The 10,671-nt window shown below is 51.0% G+C and overlaps 1 long non-coding RNA gene across 1 annotated transcript, besides 1 other annotated feature; it reads left to right on the top strand.

Moving 5' to 3' along the window:
• Positions 1 to 449: 449 nt before the first annotated feature.
• On the top strand, positions 450 to 10,332 carry LOC107984697 (uncharacterized). The gene is made up of 5 exons (XR_001750892.2): positions 450 to 671; positions 1,319 to 1,507; positions 8,471 to 8,723; positions 9,125 to 9,202; positions 9,668 to 10,332. It is a non-coding gene; the product is annotated as an uncharacterized LOC107984697 (long non-coding RNA).
• Positions 8,203 to 9,402: an enhancer, noted in NCBI's record as "BRD4-independent group 4 enhancer chr14:101821778-101822977 (GRCh37/hg19 assembly coordinates)". NCBI's record gives its function as "activates an origin of replication core promoter dependent on BRD2, P300/CBP, MED14 and CDK7 cofactors, and independent of BRD4, by STARR-seq in HCT116 cells {active_cell/tissue: HCT116}" and the evidence as "EXISTENCE:reporter gene assay evidence [ECO:0000049][PMID:35650434]".
• Positions 10,333 to 10,671: the final 339 nt, after the last annotated feature.

The raw sequence follows: 10,671 nt of genomic DNA, 5'->3' as shown, positions 1-10,671 counted from the left end.
CCAACCCTTGTACAGGGCCGTGGCAAATGCATCTGGAAAGGACTGGAGAAAATACAGATGAGTGAGAAAGGCGCCAATGAGGCGATCTCGGCCACACTCACTTAGTTAGAACGGTCAGGCCCAGCCCCCGGAGCCCAGGGCAGGAGCCAGGCGGAGCAGCTGTCTGTGGCTCTCCAAAGCATCACAACGTTAGAAATGAACTTTGCAGCGCGCAGACCTGGCAGAGGAGGCTGCTGAGGCCAACACTGAAACAAGCAGTTCAGAGGGCAAAGCGATTTGGGCCGCGTTTGGGCTACGCTGGCACTCCCCCGGCCTTTCCATTTGAGAGCAGTAATTCATTGTAAGATGGAAACTGCTTAGAGATAACTGGAGAACATTGGCCTTTAACACACATAAACAAAGTGATTTCAAAGGAAGGGCACTTGTTGGCCCTCCAGCCAGCCAAGGCAGAAAGCCCTGCTCCAGCTCGGAGACCTGCAGTGAGGGCCTTCCCAGGGCCTGTGGGATGCTGGGGGCAGGGATTCTGCTTTTTGTCCCTGGGCTATATCTCACTAGCCGTTTGCTGGGAAGGCAGGCGGGGACCTGGACGCCCGCACACCCTCGAGGGCCTCCAGTCTGCAGGTCCCTAGCCCGGGTCCCAGGCAGTGTGCAGTGTGGACCTGCTTGGCAAGGTCGGTACAGGGGAGGAGCGATCCTTCAGGAAGGTCCACAAAACTGACCACAGCAGGGGTGGGGGTGGGGAGGACTCTTGGGCATGAAGGATGATGGACAGCAACAGGGAGGTGAGGATGGGCCCCAGGCAGAGGAGCTGCGTGCGCAGCGTGGTGTGTGAGGTAGACAGTAGACGGGGAAATCTGGGGGGGCCCGAGGCAGCATCTGTGGAGGGGAGGGTGAGGGAGACAGGTGCCAGGTCACGGGGGTACCTGAGGCCACACTGAGGATCCAGGCCCCGCCTTCAGGGCAACGCAGCTGTTGGTTAGTTTTGGTAATTGACACATAATAACTGTATATATTATATATTTATGAGGTACAATCTGATGTTTTGATATATGTTTACATTGTGAAATGTTTCAATCAAGCTAATCAATAATCTTTCACCTCACATACCGATCTTCTTTTGTGGTGAAAACATTTCAAATCTTCTCTTTTAGCAATTCGGAAATATACAATGCATTAGTATTTATTCTAGTCAGCATTCTGTGCGATAGATCACTGAAACCTATATGTCTTATCTAACTGAGATCTTGTATCCTTTGACCTTCTCCCCTTGCCCCATCTCCCAGCCCCTGGTAACCGCCATTCTGCTTTCTACTTCTAGGACTCTTTTTAGACTCCACATGTTAAGTGATATTTCTCAAAAGAAGACATCCAAGTGGTGAACAGATCTATGAAAAAAAAAAATGCTTGTCATCACAAACCATCAGGGAAATGCAAATTAAAACCACAGTGAGACATCACCTGCCCTGTTCGAATGGCTTATCAAAAAGATGAAAGACAGCAAGTGTTGGTGAGGATGTGGAGGAAAGGGAACCTTGTGTGCTGTTGGTGGGTATGGACAGTCATACAGCCACTGGGTGTTGGGAGGAGAAAACGTGGTGATTCACTCAGCAGATGCCCTCATTCATTCAGTGCTGGCCAACTGCTGTGCTCCTGGTCCTGGGTCGGGTGCCTACTAGAGGATGCAGATACAGCATTTGAGATGGACTGCTCTGGCACTGGCCTGGGGGCAGGGTAGGGGAGCGGGAAATGGTCATTCCTGTGAGAAGCTGGGATGGAAAGGAGAAGACGGATTGGGGATGGTAAGAGGCAGAGGGGGCAGGCTTGGAGATCACATGGGTGTGGACATGGCGGATGGGGTGGGCTGGGAGAAGTGGGTAGGGAAAGGTGGCACCGAGGTAGCAAGTTCTGGTGACCAGGCAGATGGCACCGTCCTGCCCAGAGATGGAGGCTACAGGAGCTGGTGAGTGCCCCAGGCCTGGATGTGGGACACATGAGGTCATGAGGAGCAACCACAGGAGCCGTCCTGTGAGAAGCTAATATGTGAGTCTCAGGAGGAGATGGGGTGCCGAGGGTCAGCGGGGTTGCGTGTGTGAGTGCGGAGCAGAGTGGAGGCCGCGGGAGGCCAAGGCAGTGGTCAGGATGTGAGGGGTGGAGTGAGCACTGTGGGCCTGCTGGAGGAACCTGAGGGGCAGACATTGCCATCTCACTGGCAGGTCGGGGAGAAGGTGGCCGGTGGCAAGGGTGTGCCCTCGGGTTATAAGGAGGGGTTCATGTCCAGACTCTGGACATGTATGGCTGGGAGACTTTGGGTAGCTTTTCTGAGCCTCAGGGTCCCTAAGTTAGATGGGGGTGATGATGTCTACCTCACAGGGTGTGGGGGATTAATGGGCCAAACTTGGTGCTGATGTGCATAGAGTGTGCAGTGAGACCCCAACCTTAGTGATGCCTGTGCCCCCAGATGCAGCTGAAGGGTAGCACCCACCGACTGTAATATCATAAGGGGGCAGGACACACCCAGATATTTAGGACAAATCAGAAATCCTCGTTGGATGCTCTTTCTATGCATGTGAACACATTTTGGTTGGGGCAGGGCGAGGAACCTCTCAGAGCCATGGATGGGGTGGCCGTGAGGAGGGGGAGTTGCATGCTGGGTATGCCTTATGGGTGGGCATGAACTTTGTGGACCAAAGGCCACAGCCCCTTTTGGAGTAGCCCCTTTTGTAACGGTAGAGGGTTTTAGGAGGGATTTGTCGATGAGACCGTGGCTGAGGTTCATCTGAAAAGGCTCCCTGAGGAACCAAAGCCCAAGACTCGCTGGATAGATGTGTTCGGTGCAAACCAGGGTGCAGAGAGCACAGCATCAGGTCCCAGGTGCCAGTTGCCAGGCCAGCCCATGGTTAGACAGCCTCAGGTGGAGGGAGTACAGCTTCTGTGTCCCTGCCTGAATGAACGGTGGCACAGGAGTGGAATTTTGAGATGCCCTGGGAAAAACGTGGAAGCGCTGGAAATGTGTGGGCAGGAACAGTCTTGGAGCACCGTGTGGACCTAGTCACAGACAAGCCCGGCTCACGTCATGCCTCATTCTGCTTATCTGTGATGGCTGACCTCCTCAAGGCCAGCAAGGTATCAGGACTTACAAGTTCCCAACAGCTTTGCAGGCTCTGGAGGACAGCAGAAAGGTCACCGTCCACAAGCAGGCGCTGCCACCATGGAGAGGGGTAAGCGACATATGCCTGGGTGGTTCAGGAGCACCACGCTTAGTCCAGCCCCACCACCCTACAGAGGAGGAAAACATGCTGAGGAGACTTTCAGGGACTTGTTTATGCCCCAGTTAATGATCTTCTCCACTTGGTATCCCCCGGTACAAGGTTTCCAGAAATGTCATCCTTCTGATGGGATGTGGGAACCCCCAGGTCCCGATTGCTCAAGGTTTGTCAAAGATTTCCAGGCCCACGCTGAAGACGGCAGAGGGACAGTGTTACTCGTGGTTAAACGTCTGGTCAGCACCTTCTTTGCCATTAGAAATGTCATCTCCAACTCCCACGAATGTTGCTTCACCGTTAACTGGGGTGACGTCGGGCGGCTGCCTCTGCTCTGCTCTGGGGTCAGGATTTCATTTCTGCTTTTTTCACAGGTGTAAGTCTGGGCTGTTAACAGGCACAGCCCAGGAACCCAAGGACATCTGTTGGCACCACGGCTGCCTGCACACAGGGTGCAGACTTCAGATGCCGTGTCCTTCCCCATCCGCTCCTGCGACCCAGCCACGAAGCCTGGCCGGCTCTATTCCCTGAGCCTCTGGGTGACTTGTGACCCTAATCCACCTCTTTGGGGAGGTTTATTAATTACTGTACTGGAGGCAGCTCCGTGCCAAGAAGTTCAAAGCATCTTCCAACCTTGACCCATTAATCCCTTTAGCATCCCAGGGAGATCGGAAGGCACTGGCTGAGTCCTGTGATTCCCATCGCCTGCCATTGCATACATGGTGGGGGATGGAGGGGGAACTTGAGCAAGGAGAGCTTGGCCTGCATGTCCTCCGTGAGTCAATAGCAGGCCTGGAAAAGAAGTTGAGTTTCCCGACTGAGGCCAAGAGCCTCACTGCCAGCACAGGCTTCCTTCCTTACAAAACAGTTGTCATCCACGCCTCTCAAGATGTACCCGTCCCTCAACACCCCATCCCCCAGCACGGGCCGCCTCAGTATCTTAGTGCCAGCAGCACTACCGCTGTTTACATTGAGCTCTGGAGAGTGGCGTTTTATCATCAGGAGCAGCCAAACACGGCCCTCTCCCTTCTCTGAGTATCCTCTGCAGAAAACACCCTCCCCCACAAAAGGGTTTGGTCTTGGAGCAGAGGCCACATCCGTCACCTGTTCAGGGAGCACCACAGCTGTGCGGTCCCCGAGGGGGCTACCTACCAGGGCAGGGCGGCTCCCCGGGGTGCTCGGGGGACCCCCAGCCAGAGGCAGCTGGATAAGGAAGAAACAAGATGTTCTTTCTCCTGCCTGTATTTGCCTTGTACTCTTCAGATTCGACATTGTTTTTAATTTTCAGCCTAATTTTAGTCCAAGAACTTGGTGAGGCTGGAGAAGAGTCTTAAAGCCTTTTTTTTTTTTTTTTTTTTTTGTAAACAAGTGTACTTTTCTGGCCAGATGTTTCTTTTTTCCTGGTCTTACGGGGCTGCGCCATTGAACTGGCCGGCTGAAACTGAATAAATCTTTGTTTTACGGCTTCTTTGGTCCTTTACAACTAAGAGCCTCAGGAAGGAATCAGATCTTTTAATCCTCCTGGTCTTAGCCTGGAATGACCTCGCAAATGCACCATTAGCTAAGAAATCTTAGAAATATGTTTGTGGTTGACCTGAAAGCACATTAGCAAAGTCCCAGGCCCTAACACTGGGATGGTTAATCACCCCTGGGATGGAATGACCAGGCAGAGCCTGTCCCAGCAGGGTGCCACAAAGAGTTGAAAACATTTCTTTCTCATGAGCGGTATGTCTTGCACGATCAGGTGCTTCTTAGCAGTGACCAAGACAACAGTTACCTTCGTCTCCGGCTGGATATCCTGTTTAAAATCCGACCCTGCGTTTAAACGTGTGCAGAACGGGTCCTCAGTGCACCCTCCTGAGGTTGCTCGGACGGGTTCCTCCAGGAAGTGTGCTGGGGTGTGGGCTGACACAGCACTAAGTCGCAGCTTGAGGTACAGTGAGATGTTTTCATGGTTTAGGGAAAGCAGGCTGATTCCAGCTATTTTCACTTCTGAAAGGGCCCTGGCAGAAGGACAGGCTTGTAAAATCTGCTGTGAGTGATACAGCTGCGGCCAACCGTGGAGCCCTCCAAGTGCTGGGGAGAGCAGGCAAGGAACCGGGCCTGGTTCTTGGACAGGTTTTCATGTCCTAGGAGGAAGAACAGTTATTGCTTAATCTTGAAAATTGGGCTTTAGACCCTCAGTGTCACAGCTGACCACAGGGCTGGCCAGGTTACAGATGGGGCAGGGCCCTGCTGCTCCTCCTGATCCCTCTGCCTGAGGGGCCTCCCTCCATGGCCCCAACCCTACCCCACTGCTGCAGCGTCCCATGCTCCGATGTCTTAGAACTTTGAGCGGAACGTCCCATCTCTTGTTCTCTTCTCTGCGGAACTGTCTTTTCCTGGCCCCCTCGAATGGGCTTGGGGCCATTGCCTTCTCTGTCATCCTTCCCTTTCCCTCCTCATTCACTGCCTTCTTCCCTCTCACGTCTAATCAGTCTTCGAACTGTGTCAGTTCTACTTCTGTGACGTCTCATCACCATCCCTGCTCAAGTCTCCGTTACCTGGGCCACGTCCACAGCCTCCTAACGGCTCGTTTCTGCCTCTGATCTCTCTGAACTGCCTCTGCCTGCATGTGCTGCTGCTGACTCTTCCCAAGCTCAGCCCTGGCCGTGGCATGCTGCGTTCTTCCAGGAATCCCTGTTCCACTGGTGTCCAGTCCCTCTGTCTACCCTCACAGGCTCAGGCCCTTCACCATGAAGCCCCGACTCACCTTTCTGGGCAAGAAGTCTGCACCTTCTGACCACTCTGGATAGAGGCTCTTGCTGCTCCTGTATCTTTCTTTGCCTACTTGATTTCTCCTACCTGCATGGAGCCCCCTGCCACTCCCAACCCAGTTGAATGTCCAGAGGCCTTGCCGTTAGCTACCAAGAGGAGGAGTTACCAGACCCAGATAGAAGAAAGTGTGGGAGGCCTATTTAGTTCTGAAACAAAAAGAAATCTGGAACCACACCAAAAACCAGGGAAGATATTTTGATGTGGTTCCTTTAATGCAGCTGTTTAGACATGGGGATATTTTGGCAAGCCATGATATATTCAGCTATATTGCTCTACTAAGTGTCATGTGACATGGACACCCTGACCTCCCTGCGTCTCACCCCCTTTCGAGCTCACCCCAGAGGTGAGAAGGGTGGTAGGACATAGGGATAAAGTGGGGGTTAATCAGGCTTCAGAGAACCGGGCACCTGGGGCTTAGCATGCACTGGAGCACGGCCACAACTTCTCTGCAGCCCCTCCCTTCAGGAAGTGGAGTCTATTTCCTCCACCCTTGACTCTGATGGGTCTGTGACTTGTTCTGATCAACAGAATGAGGCTGGGGTATTTTGAGCCCAGGTCTCCAGGTGCCTTTCAGGTTCTCCATCCAGCTGCTCTGTGGATGCAGGCTAGCTTCACCGGGGGATGAGAGACCACGTGGAGCAGAGACCAGCCCTCCCAGCTGCTCGGTGGATGCAGGCTAGCTTCACCGGGGGATGAGAGACCACGTGGAGCAGAGACCAGCCCTCCCAGCTGCTCTGTGGATGCAGGCTAGCTTCACCGGGGGATGAGAGACCACGTGGAGCAGAGACCAGCCCTCCCAGCTGCTCTGTGGATGCAGGCTAGCTTCACTGAGGGATGACAGAACATGTGGAGCAGATACCAGACCTCCCAGCTGAGGCTCCCCAGCCAAATGCCAGCATAAGAGGGAGGGTCTAATCTATCATTCAGCAGCCATCAGCCCACCAACTGACCACAGACATTTGAGAGCACCCAGTGGAGATCAGCCAAGCTGGCCCAGACCAGAACAGTCCAGCTGACCCACACAATTGTGGGCTTCTTAAAGTGGACATCATTTTAAGCTGCTGGATGTTGAAGAGGTTTGTTAAGCAGCAAAGCTAACGATAGCACCGCCACTGGTCATCTGAAGGAAGGCCTGTGCTCATTCTGTGTGAATTGGCCTGCGGTGGTGTAATCTGTGTTGAGGATGGTCTGACCTCTCCTGTTGTATTCCAGGGATCTTGTCCATGGATTTATAATCAAGATATAGAATTGGCTGCTTAATAATGGAAATTATTATGGTGTCCATTTGATCTCTGCCCTTTTTTGGCGATAAAGTACCAATGACATATTTTTACCGTTTTAACTGTTTTAAAACGCACAATTCGGTGGCATGAGGTACATTCATGATGCCACACAATCACTGCCACTATTTAGTTCCAGAACATTTTCATCAAATCAAATGTTTCATCAAACCTCCTGTTCATAGGCGCGAGTCCACGGTAGGACGCCCTCCACGATGCCCCGAAGGCGGTGGGGGTGGGGAGAGTGGTCTGCACCGTTCCCTGGCTCTCCAGCCTGGGGCTTCTCCTGCAGCTTCCTGGTTTCCTCTCCGGATGAAGCAGAAAAGCCCCTTACAGGGTTGGGCAAAAGGCTGACTATGGATTGGTCCTCACCTCTCATGAAACTGGAAAGGAAACCCCATAGCCATTAAGCAGCCACTCCCATTACTCTCTACAGCCCCCCATCCCCATCCCAGCCCCTGGCAACTAGAAATCTACTTTCAATCTCTATAGATTTGCCTATTCTGGATGTTTCTTTCTTTCTTTTTTTTTTTTTTCCTTTTTTTGAGACAGTCTCACTCCGTCACCCAGACTGGAATGTGGTGGCACAATCTCAGTTCACTGCAGCCTCCACCTCTTGGGTTCAAGTGATTCTCCCGCCTCAGCCTCCCAAGTAGGTGGGATTACATGTGTGCACCACCACACCCAGCTAATTTTTGTATTTTTGATAGAGGCAGAGTTCACCATGTTGAACTCCTGGCCTCAAGTTATCCACCCGCTTCAGCCTCCCAAAGTTCTGGGGTTACAGGTGTGAGCCACTGCACCTGGCCTGGATGTTTCTTATAAAGGGAATCATATGAAATGTGGTCTTTTGTGCCTGGCTTCTTTCATTTACCAACATTCATCAAGGCTCCCTCCCGGCATGTGCAGCAGTGCCTCACTCCTTTTTATGGCTGTACCTTCCTAGGGCCCCTGTGCCTTCCTGGCTGCTTGGATCTGTCAGCCGTATTGGGTTGTGTGTGTGCTGATGGCTGTGACGTGCTAGGTGCCACTCTGGGTGTCTCACCTGGTTCACCTCTTTCACTCCTCACAGTCACTGATGAGCTCACTGTCATTCTCATTCGCATTTGACAGGTGAGGGAACTGAGGAGCAGAGTTTCAATACTTGATCCAATGCCATGCAGCTGGCACAAGGTAGCTCAAAGATTCCAATTGAGGAGTTTCCTTCTGGCGCAGAGCTGTCCTGCTGGTTCCTGGATCGTGGAGGACATGAGGAGACTCTCTCTCCGGACCCTCTCATTCTCAGCTTCACGCCGCCTGGGAAAAAAGCTATTGAACTGGTAGCAGTCCATTAAGCATGGACCACAGCACAGTTGTGTTATTTATTGTAAGATATTTACCATCTTTTGATGATAAAAATAATGCCCACTTATAAGAATCTAGACAAATCACATGTTAAGAAAAGAGACAGCTACTGATAAAAAAAAAATAAGAAAAGATGTAGAAAATGGAATTGGAAAAATGAAAGAAATATAGAAAATACAGGGCAATATCTGTGGTAACATAACTGTGGGGAATGGGTTGAAATGTCCAGGAGACCTGGATGAACATTAACTGGTAAAAGAATAGCAATTTAAAAAAAATTGACAAGGCCATTTTGACATAGAAGCATCAAAAACTTTCTGGTACCAGAACAGCCTTGTTAAGAGTCACTGGGTTAAAATGGTCACACTGGATGCCCAAAGAAAGAGGGTAATATTAATGGGAGCTGTCTTTCAACTTCTGCAGGGCTCGAAAAGAGGAAAATTGTACCAAATGATATGTCAGGAGTCTGAATCCCAGGCAACTTGCTCAATGCTTTTACAGGTAATAGCCTATGAACTCTCCCCACCCTCTCTCTAGGTTGGTGTTGGCACCTCCAGCACATAGGCATGGGTCCATGGTGCAATGCCCTCCCCAGTGTCTTGGAGGCACGGGTCTGCACCCATCCCTGGCTCTCCAGCCTTCTGCTCTTCCTGCAGCTTGGTGGCTTCCTCTCGGGTGAAACAGTAAACCCCTTATGTCCCTGCTGGGCTGGGAAAAAGGCTGAGTACGGATCGGTCCTCACCTCTCATGAGAAATCCAAAACAGCTCAAAGATCACATTCTACTCATAATCTCCTCCACATTCACATTACTTGCAGGTCAATGAACGTCAGCATCTTATCTCCACCTTCTTGTTGCTTTTGAAACAACGTTCCCTTGTCCAACCCCGTGAAATGCCTTCCTAACCAGCTCACGCTCTGGTTGCTGTCTATTTATTACTACTTCTCCTTTGCTCCCCAATGATTAGGATGGGCTCATGAAATCTATGCACACGTGAACACAAGAATAGATCAAGAAAGCAAGATACACGGAGGGAAGGGTGCTTCCCAAGGAGCCCAGGAGATGTCTGAGCACAGGGAGAAGAGCTGCCTGGGCCTCACAGCTGCCAGAGTGAGTGCTGAACACCCTGAGCCCAAAGAGGACTGTGTCCACTCACAGGACGGTCATGGGTTTTCCTTTATTTGTACTCTGCTGGCACTGAGGTTTCTTTTCTAAGCCACTGACCAGGAAGGCTGGGGTGGATCCAGGCCACACAGGTCATGCTGAAGTACACACACATGGTTGTGGTTGTGGGGGGGTGTCTCTAAATGATTGCTTCATATCACAGGACACAGCCAGGGCTCTCTGCAAGGTTGCAGCAATTCACAGAGCACCAAAGAAGCCAAGAGAATTAGGGGTGGAAGTGGGGAAAGGCCCTTCATCTGGGGGATGGTGGAAGGTACAGGAAGAAGGCCTAGAGAAAGCCCTGGAGAGGGGAACCATGTCTTGTGCAGCCATCAGTGCACCCATCAAACATGGAGCCCATTGGGTTTCCTTGAAAATGGATGACTTATGTGTATGTTTTTAATATCTCTCTTTTTCCTTTTTTAATAAAAAAGTATTATCATAGAGCAGACAGAGTTTACAGCCAAACATATTGCCATGCATTTTCTAAAAATAAAATAATTGCCTTTATAAAACAAGAACATAAAGCAGAGATGCTGCTCAGGGAAGGTATGGCAAGAGAGAAGGAAATGAGGCATGCTCAAACTGGCAGAACTTGGGAAGATGTGAAAGGGAAACATACAATCGTTTGCAGATGTAAAGAAGAACGGACACTATCAATAACACAGCAGGTACATAGAGGACAGGATTGTGAAGAAAGTGAACAAAAGAAAATGGAAGTAAAGAGACATTGAAAGGGACTTGAGTATGGGAAGTCAGTAAAAAGGATCCCAAATATTTGTATTTGATGAGTCTGAAGGATAAAAG

The sequence above is a fragment of the Homo sapiens genome, chromosome 14 (genome assembly GCF_000001405.40).
Source record: "Homo sapiens chromosome 14, GRCh38.p14 Primary Assembly".
NCBI lineage: Eukaryota > Metazoa > Chordata > Mammalia > Primates > Hominidae > Homo > Homo sapiens.
The sequence above is the reverse complement of the archived record's forward strand: the minus strand, read 5'-3'. Positions and strand labels throughout refer to the sequence as shown.